Source organism: Homo sapiens, chromosome 12, assembly GCF_000001405.40.
Source record: "Homo sapiens chromosome 12, GRCh38.p14 Primary Assembly".
Taxonomy (NCBI): Eukaryota; Metazoa; Chordata; class Mammalia; order Primates; family Hominidae; genus Homo; species Homo sapiens.
Window position 1 is genome coordinate 18,689,097 of NC_000012.12, and position 23,920 is coordinate 18,713,016.

The following is a 23,920-nucleotide window of genomic DNA, read 5'->3' on the forward strand; positions in this document are numbered from 1 at the left end:
GCAATCAGCATGGAATGGGCATCAGCATAATTAGACATCAAAGTAACTAGAAAGAACAATGGCCATAAACATATAGTACACTGGTCCCAATACCACTATAGACCCGCTAAATATCACTTTACAGGTAATAGACCCTTCCCAAAATGGAGTAGGTTCAGCTCGGTGTACCTCATTCCAGAAAGAAAAAAAAAATTATCTAATTTTGAAAAACATAATTGAATATGAAAACTGAATGAGAATTTAGGGCAAGCTTGTCCAACCTGCGGGCCACATGTGGCCCATGGTGGCTTTGAATGCGGCCCAACGCAAATTCATAAACTTTCTTAAAACATTATGAGATTCTTTTTGCATTTTTTAAAGCTCATCAGCTATCGTTAGTGTTAGTGTATTTTATGTGTGGCCCAAGATAATTCCTCTTCTTCCAACGTGGCCCAGGGAAGCCAAAATATTGGACACCCCTGGTTTAGGGAGCATTGATCAAATAATTTGTAAATAAATTAACAAATTTGTTTGTACAGGAGCCAATGCAGAGGAAGGGATATCAAACAATAAGCCCTCAGTGGTCAACTCTGTTGTTACCCATTGGCCTTACCCATAAGATTTTGGATTTAGAAAGCAGTCCTGTAGCTTTTATAAATTTGAAAATAACTGGCCTAGACCAAAACTCTCAGATTGCAGGTGACGAAGAGTAAAGCAGCAATGTCAAATGCCTTCATCAAGAACTTAAGAAAGCTTATAGTAAAACTTGGCTCTCTGATTCCCAAATCGTGCCTTCTACTATCTGAGCAAGTCATAAAGTAATCACAAAGCTCCCTAGAGTGATAGAGGCAACAGAGAAAGACCCACATGGCCATGGCAGCAGCTTCCTGGAGAATCATTAACTCTCCATGCCAGTTACACCTCAACAAGAGACTCCTCAGAATACAAACGTGGCACTTGTGAGCATTTGTGCACACTAGCTGCCTTCCACCTTCACTTTCTCAATAAAAGAGCACATATGTTCTCTTTACTATTCATAACAGGAAAAATAATGTATTTGTTCAATGAACCTAGATATATTGGGCATATACTTTGTGTAAGGCACAAATAAGGTGGAACAAAACACATCTGTTTTTTGTTTGTTTGTTTGTTTGTTTGTTTCTTTGAGACGAACTTTGGCTCTTGCTACCCAAGCTGGAGTGCAACGGTGCGACCTCGGCTCACTGCAACCTCTGCCTCCTGGATTCAAGCGATTCTTCTGCCTCAGCCTCCCAAGTAGCTGGGATTACAGTTGGATGCCACCATGCCCAGCTAAGTTTTTGTATGTTTAGTAGAAACAGGGTTTCACCATGTTAGCCAGGCTGGTCTTGAACTCTTGACCTCAGGTAATCTGCCCACCTCAGCCTCCCAAAGTGATGGGATTACAGATGTGAGCCTCCATACCCAGCCCACATCTCTTATCCTTAAAGAATCCTCAGACAAATGGAGAAGACAAGTTACAAGTAAATAAACAATTATAAAACCTTGTGATAAATGCCATAATATATGCATGCAGAGGGTGTTACGGAAAACAGCAAAGCTATGAAAAGAAGCACAGCTAACCTAGCCTAGGAAAATGCTTTCAAAAAGACATGATTCCTAAGTCTTGAAAACTGAGTCAAAATGAAATAGGCAGGTAAGGCTGAAAGAATGCTCTAGTCACAGGAAGAGCCTACGCAATTCGTGGAGGTGAGTCATGGTTAGAGAAGGATCCTAGTTCCACATGGTTGTAGAACAGGATGAAAGGCTAGAAGTGGTGAGAGATAGGGCTAGGCAAGTAGGGCAAGGCCTGACTAAGATAGTAGTCAAGAGACACAAATAAATATTACGTATGCATGATAATATTAGCACTGTAGCAAAATCTCTCCGGTCAACTTGTGGAGAATAGATATGGAGGACTGAGACAGGCTACCTGAAACCATCAGGAAGCCAAAGAAATAGACCTGATGACAGGTAGTAAATTCCTGATACAGGAGAGCAGCAAAATAGGTCAGATCAAGAGAATGGAGAAGGAAAATATTTAGGAATAGAATCAGCAGAATTTAACGTTGGTCTGGATGTGGGATGTGAAGGAGATGTGAAAGATTAGAATGGTTCCCAATTTTCTAGTCCGAGCAGAGTGGAAGAATGGGGCAATTTGTTGACATTTAAGTAAGAGCAGAAGTAGATTTGATTAGGAAGGGATGTTCAAGTTTTACTATTTTAAATTTGACAGAATGGTGATTAAGGAGGTAAGGATGCTCAGTGAGCTAAAATATGCCTTTAGATTCCCAAAATCATGTCCAATTAAAGACTTGAGCATTGTTGGTGGTGAAACTATGAATGTTTATGTAACAGAATCCAAGGAGAATAGTTTGAGACAAGGTTTAAGGAAAGACTTTAGTTAACATAAATATCTTAAGGGAAGGCAGAGAAAGAGGAAGCCACAAGTAAAAATGACAATCACTTGGAAGGTAGGGGGTAAAAGGAGAGTCCAGTCCCAGAGCATAGAAGAGCAATGTGTGTAGAAATGGAAGGGCTCTTCAAAGTGGCTGATTTGCCACTTCTTTTTACCAGATCAACTACAAAAAGATGTCAACATTATAATAGCATTGTAAAGTGAAGTCAGTAGTTAATTCTTTGCCAGACCTTGAAGGAGTACCAACAATCCAGTGTTGTAGGCAATTGCTGCCTATCCATTAAATGCTTCTACATCAGAGTCACAAACTCCTTAACAGACAATACAAAAGCCAGCTACATACTTCACAGGCACTGTTTCCTGCAATGGTCAGGATCATTCTAGTCCTGGTCATCTTTGCTATACTTTCCACATTAATTTCTGGAAAACAGCTCTCAATCCTCCCATTCTCAGCTGAGATAAAGTGGCTAGGTCCTGAAGTAGACGTGGAGTGTAGCTTCCCAAATCCTGTGGTATTACGATGGTGGAAAAAGGAGCTGAGCCAGGAAAAGTCGCAGGAGAAGCACATTCTGGAGGCCCCAGCATTTCTTGCACTCTAACAGCCAGGTAATGGGGAGCAGAGGAGCGCTCAGCAGCTGGCAGAGCTTCACTAAGTAATGACATTGCTGGCCAGGGACAGAAACATAAACACTACAAAATTCCAGGTAGGATCTGAGATGGTTTATACAGTTCTAGGAGTAACTAGTTAAATAGAAAGAGGGACCAATGAAACCATAGCCACTCTATTGATTTGCAAACAACAGGTACAGTTATAGCCTAAAATAGAACTGCTCATAAGTAAGTGGAGAGAAAAAGCAACTAGAGGTTTTTCAAAAGATTTAATGACATTTTAAAAAGAAAATAAGCATAGCACTTAGGTTATAGAGGAAAAAGAAAAACGTTTTGAAAAGTCTTTACTAATGGAAACAAATCTTAGACAACTGCTTTTATGCTCCATAAGGTTTTACAGGATGTGATAAAATAAAAGCTAAAATAATAAGACGAGAGTCTGGAGGAAAGGTGCTAGGTGGGATACAGACAGAAATAAAAAGGAAGCAATATGAGGTCAACCGCAATGGGGCAGGAGGACTAATTATGCAGGAGAAAAAAATCATTTCTACATTGAAATCAGTAAAGAACAAAATCAAATACAGACTTTGAATCATCAACATAAAGAAAAAATGTTAAAAGCTCTCCCAGGCCAAGGCAAGATGGGTCAAAGTCAGAGTGGTGGTCATGGTCCTGGAGGTGGCAAGAAGGATGACAAGCTCTAACAACTCAAGGACAAGAAAAAGAAATATGAACCTCCTGTACCAACTACAGTGGGGAAAAAGAAGAAGAAAACAAAGGGACCAGATGCTGCCAGCAAACTGCCACTGGTGACACCTCACACTCAGTGCCAGTTAAAATTACTGAAGTTAGAGAGAATTAAAGACTATCTTCTCATGGAGGAAGAATTCATTAGAAATCAGGAACAAATGAAACCATTAGAAGAAAAGCAAGAAGGGAAAAGATCAAAAGTGGATGATCTGAGGGGGACCCCAATGTCAGTAGGAATCTTGGAAGAGATCATTGATGACAATCATGCCATCGTGTCTACATCTGTGGGCTCAGAACACTACATCAGCATTCTTTCATTTGCAGACAAGGATCTTCTGGAACCTGGCTGCTCGGTCAGGCTCAACCACAAGGTGCATACCATGATAGGGGTGCTGATGGATGACATGGATCCCCTGGTCACAGTGATGAAGGTGGAAAAGGCCCCCCAAGAGACCTATGCAGATACTGGGGGGTTGGACAACCAAATTCGGGAAATTAAGGAATCTGTGGAGCTTCCTCTCACCCATCCTGAATATTATGAAGAGATGGGTATAAAGCCTCCAAGGGGGTCATTCTCTGTGGTCCACCTGGCACAGGTAAAACCTTGTTAGCCAAAGCAGTAGCAAACCAAACCTCAGCCACTTTCTTGAGAGTGGTTGGCTCTGAACTTATTCAGAAGTACCTAGGTGATGGGCCCAAACTCGGACGGGAATTGTTTCGAGTTGCTGAAGAACGTGCACCGTCCATTGTGTTTATTGATGAAATTGACGCCATTGGGACAAAAAGATATGACTCCAATTCTGGTGGTGAGAGAGAAATTCAGCGAACAACGTTGGAACTGCTGAACCAGTTGGATGGATTTGATTCTAGGGTAGATGTGAAAGCTATCATGGCCACAAACCAAATAGAAACTTTGGATCCAGCGCTTATCAGACCAGGCCGCATTGGCAGGAAGATTGAGTTCCCCCTGCCTGATGAAAAGACGAAGAAGCCCATCTTTCAGATTCACACAAGCAGGATGACGCTGGCTGATGATGTAACCCTGCACGACTTGATCATGGCTAAAGATGACCTCTCTGGTGCTGACATCAAGGCAGTCTGTACAGAAGCTGGTCTGATGGCCTTAAGAGAACGTAGAATGAAAGTAACAAATGAAGACTTCAAAAAATCTAAAGAAAATGTTCTTTATAAGAAACAGGAAGACACCCCTGAGGGGCTGTATCTCTAGTGAACTACGGCTGCCATCAGGAAAATGGTTGGGTGATTTCTCAGTCCCTGAAAGGGATGAGGCTGGGGGAGTTGCCCAGAGGAATCTCTGTTCCCATTGATTTTTATTAGCAAAACATCCTGTGTCTTTTGGAGTACGATGTGTAAGTGCCCACTGGGTGGCCTGTCTGTTGGTCACTGTGCAGCAGTCTGCTTCCCAATAAAGCGCGCTCTTTCACAAACAAACAAACAAAAAAGCTCTCCCAACATGCAGAGGAAAAGGGAATATGTTAAAGTTGACACAAATTAACAGACACTGAAGACAGATACTGGAGAAAGACATATGGATAATTTTTCTTTTTAAGTAATCAAATGATATTCACAGACATATGGGGGGAAGAATCCTGACCTACAAAAGCCTAATTGTGGAGACTGAGGAAAAGAAAAGGGCTCCTAAAATTTCCAGGTAAAATTCATCAAAGGCGAGAAAAAGTAACATGCCCACAAAGTAATTAGTGGGCTGAACTGAGACCTGTATCTCACAATATTAAATGCCTAAATACAATGAAATCATATAGTAGAACTTTGAGAGGAGAAGGTTTTAGCCTCAATATGTCAATTCACAGGCAGATAATCATTCATGTAAAATTACAACAGGAAGACATTTTTCAGATATAGAAGGATGCTGGAATACTACCCACATATAGTACCTGAAAAGATTAACAGAAATTTAAAAGAAATTGAAGCAAATCAGTGGAATTCAAAATACTAATGTACACTATCTAGTTTATATAATAACCAAAAAATGTAAAAGAAAATTTATTAATCTTACCCTTATTGTAAGTGTAATTGGCATACCCTCTTTTATGTTACTTGGGTTAAAGTATGATTTACTCTCTCTTAAGAAATGTGGTTTCAAAATATATCCAGAACCACCATTATCCAAAAATTTCCCATTTTGCAGATCCATGGGCAGACCAGGGGTCTGGAAATTTAAAGCCACTGTAAGAAAGAAGTATTTTGACATTGTCAGGTAATAGAGAATACAAATAAAGGAACACAAACCACTTACTGAAATCTAATAATGGATTCTATGTCCCCAAATGTTCTATGAGCAAGTATCATTAGCCTAATAATTCATGATTTTTAAAACTCTTTCTCCTGCCATGTCTATATTAATGTATATTGATGAGTTGCAAAGTTTAATCTGTAAGTAAATTACTACACAGCTTTGAGTAAAGAAATCAAAATGGTATCCAGTACAGATTACAGAATAACAATGTTCATGTCAGGTAACACTTAAGAAATGTCAGAATAAAGAGTATCAGTGCATTGAATGCAAGAGGTAAAGACATCAACTATGTCATAAATTTTCAAGTCCATGAGATGCTGTTGTCACTTGAGGAGAAAGTGAGAAACAGGCAAAGCAATAATTGTCGTTACAATATGGAAGTACCTCAGTATAGCCTGGTAAATAGCCACTGTAGAGAGTACCACACTCCACCCTCCACCCAGCCCCAATATCCCCCCTCCTCACACCTACAGGCCTTGCCACAATCCAGTAGAAGGGTAACACCTGGTACTTTCTGATGGGTTAGTGCAGTGCTGTACTAGCTGTTCAATTTGGAATAAGAGTCTGGTGAGGGCAAATAACCAAGTTAGGCAATCTTATTCACTTTTCAAAACTATGAATGTAGAAGCTCATGTAAAGTATAAATGATAGAGGTCACTTGATTTGAAGAGGCCTTGAGCATACCTCAAGCAAAGGAATTTGATCTTCAATGTCCATTTGGGTTTCCTTGTTCCCTTCCTCCACTACACATGTCTCATATTAACTCCTCGTGAATTTAACCACCATTCCCCAAACCATCACTGAGATTTACCCCGCTTCAACCCAGATAGGAATGACTTCAACTCTTACAACACATGACCCACCATTAGTGCCTGACCCCAAAGCCCCCGGGCTAAAAAATCTTTTACAGAAAGCCCTTTTCACGAGTTTTTCATACATTCATAAAATGAATTCATTTTATGTTACTTCTGCAAACAACTCAATATCGTATATAACATACCCATTTGACAACCTATATTCCAAAATTCTTGGGGATTAAAATTAGAAGAGTCTGCTCTTGTTGCTTTGGGATATATTCTGGTAATGAACTTCCTGGTGTGAAAAATAAACTCATGGACTGAAAAAGAATAATTAAAACATTGTGAAAGAATTCAAATAAATTTAAAAAGCCACTATATATATATATATATATATATATATATCATATAATTCTATAATAGTTTCAACAATTTTGATATGTATTGTCTTGGCAAAAATTTGCAATTCATGAATATCAAAATAAATCCATGCCTTTATGTTTATAGTATAATTCACTATTATTTAGATGTTAGTGACAATTTTATCATAAAATGTATGTACACTGATCATTCAAGGAAAAAATTGATTAGATAATTTATATATTTTTTACACCCAAATTATTTCACTTTGTTGTAAGAATACATAAAACTCCAAAATATAATCCATTCATTTTTCAAAACAAAAGCAGCATTTTCCCTTATTATTTTTCCACTTTGATTTTCACAGTAGGGCAGAATCATATGGAAGTCACACAAAGCTATACGATTCCAGCTAAATTAATCCTACTGAACATTTCACAGGTTCTCAGGGTTGAAAGGCACCCCAAAGTTGTCCAGTTCGACTTCCAATCCCTTCACTCCAGCATCTTCCCCCAAAGTTTATTCAATCTGTGTTTACATGTCTCCATTGAAAAACTTTCAATGCTTTTAATTATTTCAAATGTCGTTCTTACTGGGATAATCTCTACGTATTTGTAGTATACACACAAACAGGAACAAACATACACACACAGTCTATTTTAGTTTCTGTACATATTCTTTGTGTTTCTTCTTGTCTATATAATATTTAAGTCACTTGAGATTCAAACTAACTTAAACCCTTTACCATTTGGCACCTTCTTCAAATTTTTGAACACAAATTTCATGCTTCTCCAAGGATTTTCTTTTTTCATTAAACAGATCCTGTTTCTGCAACCATTCCTGCTGATATAGTGACTCATCATGGGAGAATGGTTACTGCTTATGGCTCACTTCATTTGCTAAACCAACTAGAATAGAATCACCTCTCCCTTCATCCTAAATACTATTATTTAGGAAGCATTGTCAAATTAAAAATTACAGTTAATTTTATCAATATTTATTTTCAAAAGTTACACATTCCTTGAGAGAAAGTTTATTTTGAAACCATGTGTGTATAAATACAGCATAGGTGTCCAAGTATCATGCTCCCTTATCTAGTCCTAACAGATGTCTGTCCTTAGGCAAAACACATACTCTTCTGAGTCTTAATGTTTCTCATTTACAAAGTAATAAATGTGAATGATGACTAAGGTCTCATAACATAATATGATTTTGTTATTTCTGAGATTAACCTTTAGAAAATAAACATGTTTGTTATTACAAATACAGTTCATGTTTACTGTAAAATAGGAGGACATCAAAGAACAAATCAAACCATATGTCATCATTCAACTGATAACCACTGATAACTCCTTCACATATATCTTCCCATTCTTTTGTATGTGTATAATTTTTAGTTGAATGATAATGTTTGTTCCCTTTCACAAACCGTTATCTTTATTTACTATAATAATGTGAACATCATTTCATTTCAATAATATTCATCTACAACATTATTTTTTAATGATTTTCATTATGTTTATAATAATAATTGGCATCCTTGAAGTTAAACCTTTGCAGACATCATTGATTATTTACTATAACTTTTGGTGCAAGAAAAATGCTCTATGCCCCTTCAAAGAAATGGTAATGTTATACTTTGACTCTACTCAGAACTATCTAATTCCTTTCCAAAATTTTTGCAAGTATTTAATATGATGAGAGTAATACAATTATAATTAATTTATGCTGTGCCTACAGGTCCTGTCCTCATGAACAACATGAGGACCTGTCCTCATGAACAACATGAAGGAACAGAGACCAGTAAAGCATGTCATTCAAACTCTCTTAACCACACCTTACAGCAAGAAATACATTTTACAATCCAACTCACATGCACGATGCACAATTGCTTCATAAAACCATATTTATTATTACTGCTTGCAATACACTTTTCTTCTATTCTATTCTATTCTATTCTATTCTATTCTATTCTATTCTACTCCATTCCATTCCATTCCATCCCATTCCATTCTACTCTATACTACTCTATTCTATTCTATTATTTAACTGTAGTCCAGACCTACTGAATTGATTTTTGGTTACAACACACAGGTTAAAAAAGGAAAAGAGCCTTTAAAAAATCCAGGATCTCTCTAATAGATAGTTAGAGAATATGAACTAAAGTATACTTCAAAATCTTTGGGTATCTATGACCAGCCCAATAAGGTTAATCATTAAAGCTTTCAGAATCCGCATTCCCAAACAGCCAGCAGCTTTTCTCAAGTCAATTGCAGGTGCTGATTTTCCTTCTGTGGTATTTCTACACAAGATGGTAGATTGCATTTTTTTAACTTTTAATTTTTGTGGGTACATAGATAAATATATTTATGGAGTACACGAGATATTTTGACAAAGATATACAATGTCTAGTAACACATCAGGATAAGTGGTGTATCCATCACCCCAAGCATTTATCCTTTGTGTAACAAACAATCCAATTATACTCTTTTAGTTATTTTTAAATGTACAATAAACTATTGTTGACTGTAGTCACCTGTTGCACTATCAAATACTATGTCTTATTCATTCTAACTATAGTTTTGTATCCATTATTGTCCTTACTTCCCCCATACCCCTGCTACTAAAAAAAACTGCCATTTTTTGAGGATTAGCAGAGTCACCTGGCTCTTAAGTTAGTTGCTCATTCCCTTTTAAGTTTGGGACATTCCCCACATAATGAGTCTTCTTTCTATTCTCTTTCTCAGGCCCCGTTTTACCTTGGGCACTGCCAAACAGAATAACCACCTCAGTTTTAGAATTAGAGGCAGTGAAAGGAAGATGCAGAGACAGATGGCACCTCTACAGGTGTGCAGTGGGGCATGCACACTCTGCACAGCCATCTGGTAGTCCAGCCTGGGCGCCATTTCTTCCCCTTCCTTCACCATAGGCATAGAGCCTCCAAGTCTGATTAACCCTACCCTCTTCAATGCCTATTAAATCCACAAAGTTCATCCTGTCTCCACTCTCACTGCCAGAAATCTTTATTACCGCCTTCCTGCCTGCAATCTCACCCTTTGGCTGCTATCAGAGGTATCGTTTAGAAATAGAGTGGATCATGCCACTCCTGAGAGTTCAATCTTCTCCTGCGCACCTTCGCTTCCAGGACAAAGTTCAAGCCTTCTAATTCGGCTCTGCCTCCCTCTGCAGCCCTGTCACTGCTCTCCTATACAAGCTGCTCACCACAGCCCCCCAGCCCTCAACAAATGTGGCCACATCGGACATTCTCAATCAAAATGTCATGGCTTAGGAAAGTTAATTAATGGCTAAGTTCCATGAAATAAAACTTAATGAGACCTGAGGTATGTAACCCCATTCTAAATTATGTTAAATGTGTTGAAATTTTATGAGAATATACATTTTATAAATATCATTGAGCAATCTTAACACCCTAGCAGTGAATCTAACTCATTTAAACATTTCATCTATTTGAGTCACAAAAATTTACCTCGCAATTTTGAAAGTTTTCGGGCTTGTGTCTCCCCAATAGAATTATTTTCATTAAATTGCTGATATAATCTTGAATGTTGAAAGCTTTTGAATTTCTCAGCTTTCGTATAAATGACAAGATCAGATAAGGCCAGAGCAATTTTTAGCTTCCTGGTCTAAAAATAAAATGCAGTAATTTTACATTTTTATGCTAATCATTGGGAAAAAAAATTTTTTCTAGTAAAGAAAATACACTTTCAAACAAATGATTTTCATCTTTTCATAAGATTATCTCCTCAAACACCATTTGATTAACTCAATATGATTATTTTTGGGAACAAAAAAATATTTAATGTTAAGATAAGCTAGCTTAAATTTAAAAATCATGATTAATGTAATAAGTATTGAGGACCACAATTATTACTATTTATTTTTTTCCTAAAGATCTCAGTGTATTCCCATGAATTTTATAATTTTAGGAATTTTTGTCATTAATAAATTTATATTGAAATGACTTCTATTACATAGCGAACATTTGCCATTTCACAACCTGGCATCTATTTCTTTTACACTTCTTTTTAGCCATTTCCCAAGTTTTGTTTTGGGAAAACATTTCTTGCTCATGCTCAATCCAAGTATGAGTCAGGCAGATTGGGCCAGCTAAACAGAGCTTTGCATTCCCCTAGCAACAGTAATTGGTTCTGGGATGTGCGCATAACCAGATCAGAGCCAACGTACAAAAAAAAAAAAAAAAAAAAAAAATAGTTGCTCTGCCAAGAGATAGGCATTCCACTGGATTTGAAGCTGAAATGATATAAAGCTGACTCCTTGCAATAGCCATGCACCAACACAGAGAAAGTGGGAGCAAAGCTGGAGAAAGAATTGAAGTTCTGCTGACTTTATGTGAGACACTATATCAAGTCATTTTTTAAACTAAAATCCCTTTCACTGAACTTTTCATCTATGTAGGCCAATTAATTAATTATCATTTTATTTAAACCAGCTGGATTGGTTTTGTGTCACATGCAACCTAATATACTTTCTTTCATCATGCTAATGTATATACATATAACATTATGTATTATTAATATTGAATCTTGTCTTTGTCTTTACTTGGGACCAGGGAAATTACGTTGTGTATCTCTGCATCTTTTGCACTTCGCACAAAGCCTGTTTCATAAGAATGCATAATATTTATCAATTATAGAGATTTTTTTTTTTTTTTTGAAACAGGATCTCTCATTCTGTTGCCCAGGTTGGAGTGCAATGGCTCGATCTCGGCTCACTGCAACATCCGCGTCCCAGGTTCAAGCAATTCTCCTGCTTCAGCGTCACAAGTAGTTGGAACTACAGGCATGCGTCACCATGCCCGGCTAATTTTTGTATTTTTAGTAGAGACGGGGTTTCACCATGTTGACCAGGCTGATCTCAAACTCCTGACTTCATGTGATCCGCCCACCTCAGCCTCCCAAAGTGCTGGGATTACAGGCATGAGCCACCGTGCTCAGCCTAGAGAAAAAAATGTTTAAGCAGCTAACATAAGAAAAGAGGCAATTTAAAAAATTCATCTTCCACCATCGATGTTTTCAAAGTAAATTGTAAATGATAGACTAGAGTTTTTATAAGAAGGAAAATGATTTTTCTCCAGAATTTTAAAAAAATCTCCAAGAATAAAATTAGAAAACTTTCCAATCACTTGTAAGATTTTCACAAAACACCACCTCACCTTCTTTTTCTTGAAAAGCATTACTCCAGGTAACTTTTTTACCCCTGTTTCCTTGTCTTGATTGTCTCCTAAAACAGATTCCAATACTTCTGATTCTTTGAATTTATCCTCCTCCTCCTCCTCCTCCTCCTCCTCCTCCTCCTCCTCCTCCTCTCCATCTGCCACTTCTTCTTCCCATTCCTCCACCTTACCACGCTTATCAGAACCTTTTCTTTCATGGGTTTCCTTTAAGGTTCCTATTTTCTTATTTTTAACTAATATTTTGAATTTTAGTGCCTAAGGAAACAATTTGAGAGATACAATTACACATTTACAAGTAAATTTGCATTGTAACAGTCACTGAAAAGTGTTTCACTATATTTCCAATTAGCCTACAGTAATAAGATATGTAAGAACTCCATTTTTTCCCATACCCCTATTCACATCTCAGTAGAGGAATGAATACAGTGATATAATGCTATTGATTGTAATTCACCAAAAAATAAGCCTGTTATGATTGAGACTTACCATATGCCATTTTTTTTATATTTCCCAAGTTGGTACTATTCCAACAATTTGAAATATGTGAAAAGTATATATATATAAATACTTACCATGATATTGCAATGAAAATGTTACAACTTCTGGTAGTAAACGCTTCAGCTCATCATTTTCTTATCCAACATTAAAAAGTATTAAATGAAATCAGGTATATTAAAATGTCTATCATAAGTGTCTGGCATCTAGTATAGACTAAATTAAAGATTCGTAATAAAGGCTCTTCAAATTTCTTCTGTATTACACATAAACATCATTAACTTAATATTTTCTGTCCTTCAAACTTAGAAGCATAGCAAAATTTACCATCAGTGTCACTTGTTCTAAATTTGAAGGCTTCTGGTTCCATTCTTTCACTTGGTTATTCCTGCCCTTAGGATAATTTCTTTAATTTAACAAGTACATTTAAGTACCGGCTCTGTTATATACAATGCTGAAATCTGGGTTATAAAGTAAAGTTCTTTTCTCCAGGGAGCTTTGATTGTCCTTTCTCTTTTGTCATCCTCAGGCATCCATTCAAATTATTCCATCATCTTGGGTCTTCCCTCTTTCACAATGACCCTTATGATACTCTCCACTGCAGAGTTTACCAAATGCACTCTGCAATCCCATGTATCAAGAATATTATCAGAAGTGCTTGGGAAAGGGACAAATTCCTAGGATCTACTTCAAAATAAGGGAATCAGAATCTTGAATTGTGGGGCTGGAATTGGGCCTCCTTTAACAAGTCTCTAGGCAATTCTTTTACACACAAGGACTGAATATTGTAGGATAAAGTAACTTTTTTTTTTTTTTTTTTTTGAGACGGAGTCTCACTCTGTCACCCAGGATGGAGTGCAGTGACATGATCTCAGCTCACTGCAACCTCCGCCTCCTGGGTTCAAGAGATTCTCCTGCCTCAGCCTCCCAAGTAGCTGGGATTACAGGGTAACTTTAATTCTTTATTTACTCATTGAAAAGCACCTCCCTGCTTTAATATGGAGCTAAAATTTGAATGAAAGCTATGTACGGGAATGCTAGAAAAATAGATTCATATATAATAGGAAGCGGGATTCTCTTCCAAGAAAGCTGAAAATTATAAGTTCCAGAATTGGACTATGATTTGGGTTTAATCTTTGATGATATGTTTCGAAATTCTTTACTATTTCTTTCCACCACAATTGAACACATTGAGTCTGTGGGCATTCTTATGCCACAAAAGAACCGTGGTCTTTCCATTTATCACACAGTTCATTTTTTTCTGTCTCAGTTCTATCATCAGCCCTATATGTCTTGTCACTAGTGTCACAACACTTTCACTTGAAAATTTTTCACTGATTTAAATAAAATGTTAAAAGAAGTAAAATTTGAAGATCTTCCAAATTTATTATGTCAGGGAGAAAAGTTCAGCCCTGGAAACTTAGTCATGTAATACAGCTGTTTTTCTTCGATGGTGCATGACCATTGCTTTCTGACCTTTGTGTTGAGATGTTATACATTGACCAGACTCCTTATTCTTTATTCAAACCCTGACTAAATGACCTTAGAGATAGAGAACCTTGTGATTACCTCTTTACAATAGAATGTTAAGCAAACCCCTTAGAGTGTAATCAACCGTAGCCAATCAAATCTTAAATCTGTATGTTAACCCTTGTGTGGAAAATACTGTAATTCTGTTCTGTACCTCTGTTTTTGCCTGTATAAAACAATTTTCACTTTTTCCCACACCAGGAGCAATGACTACTATTCTTTGCTGTCTTGTGTGTCCCAGAAAGCTACCCTTACACTATGCACTTGAATAAATTCTTCTAACTGAATCCCAAGCCTTTTGATTATTTTAAGTTGGCAAAAAAAATAAGGAAAATACAGAGGGCAATACCCAAATATTACAAAAATATTGTTATGTCTAGCAAAAATGAAGACATGTCAAAACCAAACTATTTGTTGTTAGACAATACTATTCATCAAAAAGAAAGTTTATTTGTAATCTGATAAAATTTGGGATAGGGAGAAAGGCCCAGCAAAGGAAACTAAGCAGGAGTGGTCAAAGAGGAGTGAGGGAAGGCTAAAGAATGTGGTGTTACAACAGAAAGTAATTCAGGGAAAGGAAGTGGAGGTCGACAGTATTGAATGTTAATGAGAGGACAACCAGATGAAGACTAAAAGAGGTTCATTAGAATTTATCAGTAAGAAAATCTTTGATGAATGTGATGGGAACTTTCCTGTGAAGCAATTAGAAGAGAAAGAGGGACTGAACAGGTTGCAAGGAGACAAGAAAATGAAAATTTGGGCCGTGAGAGGGAGTAATTCCTTTCTTTTTTTCAATATGAAGGAGTTTTGTTCTTTTTGCCCAGGCTGGAGTGCAGTAGCTCAATCTTGGCTCACTGTAACCCCCGCCTCCCGGGTTCAAGCGATTCTCCTGCCTCAGTCTCCCTAGTAGCTGGGATTACAGGTGGATGCCACGACACCCAGCTAATTTTTGTATTTTTAGTAGAGACGGGGTTTCACCATGTTGCTCAAGGCTGGTTGTGAACTCCTAACCTCAGGGGATCCGCCCTCCTCAGCCTCCCAAGGTGCTGGGATTACAGGCATGAGTCACTGCACCGGGCCATAGAGAGGGAGTAATAAAGAGACAGCCAGAGAGAGAAGTGAAGTCCTGATGGTAGATGTGGACGTGATTTTTCAAAGCAAATACTTCAGTATGCTCAAATTAAGACGGAAAGGGTCATAGAGACAGGGAAATTGAAAAGAGTAGATTTTTTAAAGGGGAACTTGCTACCCAGCTGTTGAGATATTGGGTACTGACTATTTATAGTCTAGAACTTTTGCCACTTTCTAGGACTTTTGCCTGTAAAACATACTAAATTTCTGGTCCTTAATACTAATTGCTTTGATATTGTGGACCCATGGGGTAGGAGACACAATCAAAATGTGGGTTGTATGTATATATATATAAATTTTAATCGAAATATATTCACCTAAGCATTCATGAGAACATTCCCTAGGCAACATTGCAAAAATAAACCTCTATACGTGATCAAAACTAAGCATTTTCATTGGTCTCTAGCCCAGTTTCACAGGCCAATATAACAGTGACATGTTTTCATGGACTTTTTTCTTAACCTGAGTTTCTCAGAAAAAAATGTTACCTCTGGTGATGGTAGAGTATCAGGAAAATCATCAAGCATATCAGAAAGCAAGGACTCTCCAAAAGTAGCCTGCAAATTGTCTGCCATTACTTCTTGTTGGGCAGTGGAGCAGTGATTTTCTAAAGAGAGCACCACTGGGTAGTCAGATGTCTAAAAAAGTAACCATTACTATGGTTATTCATCAAAACTTCTAAATAATTGTAAGGCAATTAATATAAGTGCTTAATGTATTTTAAAACTTACTTCTAACGTTTAGTACCTTTGCAAAATAACTATTCTTTAAACTGAAAGTACTTTTGAGTTTGGCAAAACAGAGACCATTAAATCTGCATAAAAAGAAATGTATTACTATTTGCACCAAAAGAATAGGAACAACTGAAGCATCCATCAGTGAGTACTTATTTAAATAAATTATACTGGCCAGGCTCAGTGGCTCACAACTGTAATCCCAGCACTTTGGGAGGCTGAGGCGGGCGGATCACCTGAGGTCAGGAGTTCGAGGCCAGCTTGTCCAGCATAGTGAAACCCCATCTCTACTAAAATCACAAAAATTAGCCAGGTGTGGTAGTGTGTGCCTGTAATCCCAGCTACTCAGGACACTAAGGCAGGAGAATCACTTGAACCCGGGAGGCAGAGATTACAACGAGCCGAGGTTGCGCCATTGCATTCCAGCCTGGGTGACAGAGCAAGACTCCATCTCAAAAATAACAATAATAATAATAAATAAATTATACCATATCCATATAAAGGAATGATATAGACCAATTAAGAAGAAGGCAGGACGAGCATGGTGGCTCACACCTGTAATCCCAGCACTTTGGGAGGCCGAGGCGGGTGGATCACCTGGGGTCAGGAGTTCGAGACCAGGCTGGCCAACATGGCGAAACCCCATCTCTACTAAAAATGCAAAAAAGAAAATTAGCTAGGCGTGGTGGCAGGTGCCTGTAATCCCAGTTACCTGGGAGGCTGAGGCAGGAGAATTGCTTGAACCGGGAGGTGGAGGTTGCAGTGAGCCGAGATTGCACCATTGCACTCCAGCCTGGGTGACGGAATGAGACTCTGTCTCAAAAATAAAAATAAAAAAAAAAAAAGAAGAAGACAGAGCTATCTATACTGCTATAGAAAGTTATCTACGGGTTTATGAAGAAAAGCAAGTTACCAAAAAGTAGCATGCTATATTTTTATTGTTAATATACAAATATTTAGAGATTTTAAAAAGTGAAACAAAAACATTATTAACACTGATGAGTTGGGGGAAATGTCAATATTCTGCTTTTTCAGTTTTAAGTTCTGAAATCAAAACTCATTGTTTTAGAATTAGAAACAAAGATAAAGATATTTCCAGTTTCTAATAGCAAAGGAGTTTTATTAAGTGAAGGTGGCTCTACAAAGGTATTTTCTGCCCTTTCTCATTGCTGTAACTTCAAAACTTGCCATTAAATAGGGAACAAAACATCACTGGATCTTATTTACAATTTTTTTCTTTGTTTTGATTTCATATATACTTATCAGGGCACAAATTTACCAATTTGTAAACAAGCCAGGGAATCACAAGTCTTACTGCATTTTCACAGCACTCAGAACAGGGTCGATTATTACTATGTCTTTTTAATGTATGAGTGTATTGCTCTGTGGCTGCTGTGACAAAAATTACTACAAACCTTGGTGGCTTACAACAACAACATTTATTCTCTCACTGTCTAGTCACCAGAAGTTTGAAATCAGTTTCACTGGTCTCAAATCAAGGTGTTGGTAAGGCTGCACTCCCTTGGAAGGCACTGAAGAAGAATCCTCCTTGCCTCTTCCAGGTTTGGGTGGCTGCCCACATTCCTTGGCTTGTGGCCACATCTCTCTAATCTCTGTCCCTGTCTTCCCACTGCCTCCTCCTCTGGTGTATCAAATCTCTCTCTACTTCCTTCTTATAAAAGTCCTTATGATGGTGTTCAGCGCCTACTCAGATAATCCAGAATAATCTCCCCATCTAGAGGTCTTTAACTTAATTACATCTACAAAGACACTTTTTCCAAATAAAACAACATTTACAAGTTCCAGGAATTAAAACTTAATATTTTTGGAAGCCCTTATTTGACCTACACAATGATCTTCTGAATTAGAGTGAGTCCACTGACTCACTCTGATCCCAAAAGAATAGGTAAAGTTTTTTCCAAATATAATAAGTAATTCTGAGACTGGGCAAAGTGATGGCCTAAAAGGTGGATTCTTCCATGAGGCCCTGATGTCACTGACATCATTTCTCTTTCTTCTTGGCTCCATCTTGTGGGAAGATCCTCTTTCTTTTATCTTCCCTGGCCACATTGAAAGTGGATGTTGAGGAGTTTGCTCTCTTGAAAGCCAAGCAATGTTTGCCCCCCATTTCCTTACCAAAGGCTGTTTTAAGGCTCACCTAAGAGTCATACTTATGAGGGTTTTTGGCAGTATAAGTCCCTTAAAACTTAGATTTCTTATGTATTTATTCTAGTAAACTCATGCAACTAGACCAAGTTATGACTTCCCTAGTCATAATTATTGTCTATGTAATTTCATGTCCTCTTTTTCCAAATAGTGACTACCTTGAGTAGGAAGTCTAAACTTTAATCTTATCTATGCTGCAAAACTGAGTCACCTTGTTCAGCTGGGAAGTCTCATTGAGTCTCCACTGCTCAAAGCCTTGTTTAAAATCTCACTTCTTGCTCTTTTGGGTGTTTTTAAATGCATTTTATTGTGTATACTTAAGGTATACAACATGATGTTATGGAACACACGTAGATAGTAAGAAGGTTATTACAGTGAATCAAATTAACATATCCATCTATCCATCATTTCACAGTTACCCTTTTTAAAATTTTTGTAGCAAGAGCAGCTAAAATCTATTCATTCAGCATGAATACCATATACAGTATAACTTTATTACCTATAATCCTCATATGATACATTAGATGTCTAGACTTTTTCATCCTACATATGTGCTACTTTGTAGCCTCTGACCTACCTTTCTCCATTTTCTTCTCCCTCCCCACACCTCGTTCCTGTCAACCACTGTTTGGTTATCTATCTCTGTACATTTGAGAGTTTTTTTTCTAAATTCCACATAAAAGTGAGATCAGGCATTATTTCTTTCTGTGTCTGGCTTATTTCACTTAACATAATGTCCTCACTCATGCTGTGGTAAATGGAAAGATCTCATTCTTTGTAAAGACTGAATCATATTCCATTGCATATATCCATTTTCTTTATTCATTTGTCTGTCAATGAACACTAGGTTGTTTCCATATCATGTCTATTGTGAACAATTCTACAGTGAACACTGCAGCACAAAAACTTTATGAGATGGTTATTTAATTCCCTTTGGGTATGTACCCAGAAGAGGGATTACTGGGTCATATGGTGGCTCTATTTTTTATTTCTTTAGAAACCTCCATGCTGTATTCCCATTGGTGGTACCAATCTACATTTCCATCATCAGTGTACAGGGTTCCCTTTTTGCCACGCCCTCGCCAACATTTGTTATCATTTGACTTTTTGATGAGACCTTCTAACATGGTAAGACTGTGAGGTGGTATCTCATAGTGGTTTTGATTTGCATTTCCCTGGTGACTAATAATGTTGAGTACCTTTTCATATACTTGTTGGCCATTTTTATGTCTTCTTTGGAGAAATGCCTATTCAGGTTTTTTGTTCATTTTTTAATCAAGTTTTTTTTCCACTAATGAGTTGTATGAATTCTTCATAAATTTTGGATATTACTCCCTTATCAGATACATGGTTTGCAAATATTTTTTCCCCAATTCATAGGCTGCCCTTTGATTTTGTTGGTTGATTGTTTCCTTTGCTGTGCAAAAGCTTATTAGTTTGATGTAGTCCCAGTTATTTATTTTTGCTTTTGTGATCTGAGCTTTTGATGTAATATCAAAATAATAATTGCCAAAGTCAGTGTCTAGGAGCTTTTCTCCTATGTTCCCTTTTAGGGTTTTCATAGTTTCTAATATTATATGTAAGTTTTTTATCCATTTTAACATGATTTGTTGTGTATGGTATAAGATAAGGGTCTAATTTCGTTCTTTAGCATGTCGAAATTCAGTTTTTTCAGTACCATTTATTGAAGACATTATCCTTTACCATTTTGTCTTCTTGGTCTCCTTGACAAAAATTAGGTTGACCATATATGCTTAGGTTGATCTCTAGGCTCTCTATTCTGTTCCACTGGTCTATATGTCTGTTTTTCTGCACAGGACCATGCTGTATTGATTACTATAGCTTTGTAACATAATTTTAAATCAGAAAGTGTGATGCCTCCAACTTTGTTTTCATTTCTCAGAATTATTTTGGCTATTTGAAGTCTTTTATCCTTCTTTACAAATTTTAGGACTTTTTTTTTATTTCTATGAATAATGCCATTGGAATTTTGATAAGAATTGCATTAAATCTGTACACTGTAGCCTAGTATAGTTGTTCACACCTGTAATCCCAGCACTTTGGAAGGCCAAGATGAGAGGATCTTCTGAGGCTGGGACTTTGACACCAGCCTCGACAACATAACAATACCACACCCCAAGGGAAAAAAAACCCTGTGTATTGCTTTAGACAGCATGAACATTTTAACAATATTATTTTATATCTTCTGATTCAGGAGTATAGGATATCTTTTCACGTATTTGTGTCTCCAATTTCTTTCATCCATGTTTTATAGTTTTCAGTATACAGATCTTTCACTTCCTTGGTTAAATTTATTCCTAGATATGTCATTTTTATACTATTGTAAATGAGATTTTTTCTTAATTTCTTTCAATTAGGTCACTATTTGCGTATAAAAATACTACTGATTTAAATATGTCGATTTTGTGTTCTGCAACTTTACTGAATTCATTTATGAGTTCTAACAGGGTTTTTTGTGTGGAATCGTTGGGCTTTTTTACATACAGGATTATGTCATCTGCAAATAAACATAATGTTGCTTCTTTTCTTCCTATTGGAAATAATAGAAAGCATTGCATTTTGTCTCTTTTTCTTATCTAGTTGCCCATTTCTTGCTTTTTGGAATCTTAGAAGCTGTAGGCTTTTCATCCTTGCAAGGCCTTTGAATTTTAAGACTGTCACTATTTTTTTTAATTCATTTTTCCACTCTGAATTAGGTGAGGGAGTTAGCCATGCAAATATTTGGGAAGAGTATTTCATATAAAGGGGGAATAGCAAGTACAAAGGCCTTGAGATATGTCTGAAAAGGACTAAGGAGGCCAGAATGGCCAAGTGAACAGGGATGGAGTAGCAGGAGAGTTAAAATAGGTAATGAAAAACTGACCACTTATGGCCTTGTGAGTCATTGTACAAATTTCAGCTTTTATTTTGAGTGAGGCCGAAGGCTTTGAGAAGGGGAATGACATAGTCTGAGTTACCAAAAATCACTCTGGTTGATATGTTGAGATGAGATTGCAGGGGAATAAGAAAAGAAGCAAGAATATCAGAGAAGAGGGCAGTGGGATCATTTAAATGAGAGGTGATGTTGGTTGACTACGACAGTGACAGTAAAAATGGGCAGAGATAGTTAAATTCAGGATACATTTTAAAAGTAAAGCCACTGCTCAAAAGAAGACATTTATGCAGCCAAAAAACACATGAAAAAATGCTCATCATCACTGGCCGTCAGAGAAATGCAAATCAAAACCACAATGAGATGCAATCTCACACCAGTTAGAATGGCGATCATTAAAAAGTCAGGAAACAACAGGTGCTGGAGAGGATGTGGAGAAATAGGAACACTTTTACACTGTTGGTTGGACTGTAAACTAGTTCAACCATTGTGGAAGTCAGTGTGGCGATTCCTCAGGGATCTAGAACTAGAAATACCATTTGACCCAGCCATCCCATTACTAGGTATATACCCAAAGGACTATAAATCATGCTGCTATAAAGACATATGCACATATATGTTTATTGCGGCACTATTCACAATAGCAAAGAATTGGAACCAACCTAAATATCCAACAACGATAGACTGGATTAAGAAAATGGGGAACATATACACCATGGAATACTATGCAACCATAAAAAATGAAGAGTTCATGTCCTTTGTAGAGACATGGATGAAACTGGAAACCATCATTCTCAGCAAACTATCGCAAGGACAAAAAACCAAACACCGCATGTTCTCACTCATAGGTGGGAATTGAACAATGAGAACACATGGACACAGGAAGGGGAACATCACACTCTGGGGACTGTTGTGGGGTGGGGGGAGGGGGGAGGGATAGCATTAGGAGATATACCTAATGCTAAATGACGAGTTAGTGGGTGCAGCACACCAACATGGCACATGTATCCATATGTAACAAACCTGCACATTGTGCACATGTACCCTAAAACTTAAAGTATAATAATAATAATAATAATAATAATAATAAAAGTAAAGCCAAGATGATTTACTGAAGAATTGACTGAGGGGACTGAGAGAAGGAGAAGTAGGTTACAGTTGGCAAAAAAGGTCTTGGCTAGAGCACATGAAAGTTGTCATTGATGAGATGGGGAAGATCGTGGCGAGAGCAGGACTAGAGAAATATCAGGGAGCTCAATTTTAAACATGTTAAGTTAAATATGCCTATTCATATCCAAGTGGTAATGTCAAACAGGCAGTTGTGTACTTTGGTGTGAGTTCAAGAAAGAGACTGGAGTAGAAATAAATAAATTTAGAAATAATAGAAACTACATGTTTAGGAGAATCAGTGCCATACTCTCAATGTTTTTATATTAAGATAGAAATTGTTCATATATGATATTTGTATCTTTGAAATATTTATTTTGTACTCCATTTTAATATATAGTAGATAAATTTATATAAATTTGTGATTTTAAGTTTATGTTGACAGATTATGTAATGTATTGACATAGGAGAACTTTATTACATTTGTAAATTTAATGTATTAGGTACACATTACACAGTTTTAGTACGTAGTAAGAATTCTTTTAGTCATTTTGATTGTACTAAAATTGTACTATAATTGAAGTACTTAAGAAATCAAGTGTGTTAAGTTTACAAAAACAACACAATGTCTGAAGGTACAAAATTAGCCACGTTTATAAATGAAACCAGTGTTATTTAGAACTCCTTAACATTGAGGGATTGCAAAAACCTGCTCAATTTATAGAGTAGGATTCATAAACTGAGCTCAAATTCTAGGAATAACTATATCGTTGAATCTGTAATAAATTAAACATTTTTGAATCCAAAGTAAACTTCTGAACATTTCTTACTATATCAATAGCTGTCATTATAGTCATTAAAATGTCAGCAATTGAAATGATGCATTGTTGATACATTTTATTTTGTCTTGAAAGTAAAAGAGTTGAATATTGGTAAAATATCTACTATTACCTAGACCAGTATTTCTCAAACTTTCCTGGCCATCATCCACAATAATAAATATATTTTACCTTGTGAAACAATACACACACACACGAGTAAACAAAAAGTTCCATGAAACACTATGTACCTTACCACCTGAAACTAACTTTGATAAATCTACCTTTAACTATATACAACATGGATTTCACTGCCTACTAATGGATCATAACCCACAATTTGAAATATCATCTAAAGTAAGGCTAAGCATTATAGGATTTTGAAGCAAGTAAATTAGAATTGCTTCTGTTTAAATAGCTACAGTTGAACAAAGATATGTACATACCATGAATGCATACTTGTGTATAGCTTGGATAACAGTTTTAAACAGAAGTTTGCTTGTGAGTGTGTAGCCATGATATACAACAGGTTCATTTTGTGCTCCATCCCAGCAGTCAATCTCCAAACAACGGCATCCTTTCACAAGGGCACTAGCAAAATTTCAGCAAAATAAAATGTTA

The 23,920-nt window shown here is 36.9% G+C and overlaps 2 protein-coding genes and 1 pseudogene across 20 annotated transcripts in view, besides 1 other annotated feature; 2 read left to right on the plus strand and 1 right to left on the minus strand.

The window, feature by feature from the left end:
- The window catches only part of PIK3C2G (phosphatidylinositol-4-phosphate 3-kinase catalytic subunit type 2 gamma), a 483,857-nt gene that overhangs the window by 446,136 nt on the left and 13,801 nt on the right, over nucleotides 1-23,920 (plus strand). The window lies entirely within an intron of this gene.
- PLCZ1 (phospholipase C zeta 1) overlaps nucleotides 1-23,920 on the minus strand; it is a 92,404-nt gene that overhangs the window by 43,488 nt on the left and 24,996 nt on the right. For 6 of the 15 annotated variants that reach the window (XR_001748912.2, XM_017020176.2, XM_017020184.2 and 3 more), the window contains 6 exons: nucleotides 23,746-23,890; nucleotides 16,070-16,219; nucleotides 12,405-12,680; nucleotides 10,698-10,854; nucleotides 7,054-7,170; nucleotides 5,814-5,983 (listed from right to left, as the gene is read on the minus strand). Coding sequence is in view for 14 of the 15 variants with exons in the window: in XM_017020176.2 (XP_016875665.1) it covers nucleotides 5,814-5,983; nucleotides 7,054-7,170; nucleotides 10,698-10,854; nucleotides 12,405-12,680; nucleotides 16,070-16,219; nucleotides 23,746-23,890 (1,015 nt within the window). In the remaining variant the exon portion in view is untranslated. The remainder of the gene's footprint in view (nucleotides 1-5,813; nucleotides 5,984-7,053; nucleotides 7,171-10,697; nucleotides 10,855-12,404; nucleotides 12,681-16,069; nucleotides 16,220-23,745; nucleotides 23,891-23,920) is intronic. The other 9 variants (XM_017020177.2, NM_033123.4, NM_001330774.2 and 6 more) reach the window with 5 other exon arrangements.
- Nucleotides 1,133-2,332: an enhancer, noted in NCBI's record as "BRD4-independent group 4 enhancer chr12:18843163-18844362 (GRCh37/hg19 assembly coordinates)". NCBI's record gives its function as "activates an origin of replication core promoter dependent on BRD2, P300/CBP, MED14 and CDK7 cofactors, and independent of BRD4, by STARR-seq in HCT116 cells {active_cell/tissue: HCT116}" and the evidence as "EXISTENCE:reporter gene assay evidence [ECO:0000049][PMID:35650434]".
- On the plus strand, nucleotides 3,663-5,227 carry PSMC1P9 (proteasome 26S subunit, ATPase 1 pseudogene 9; annotated as a pseudogene).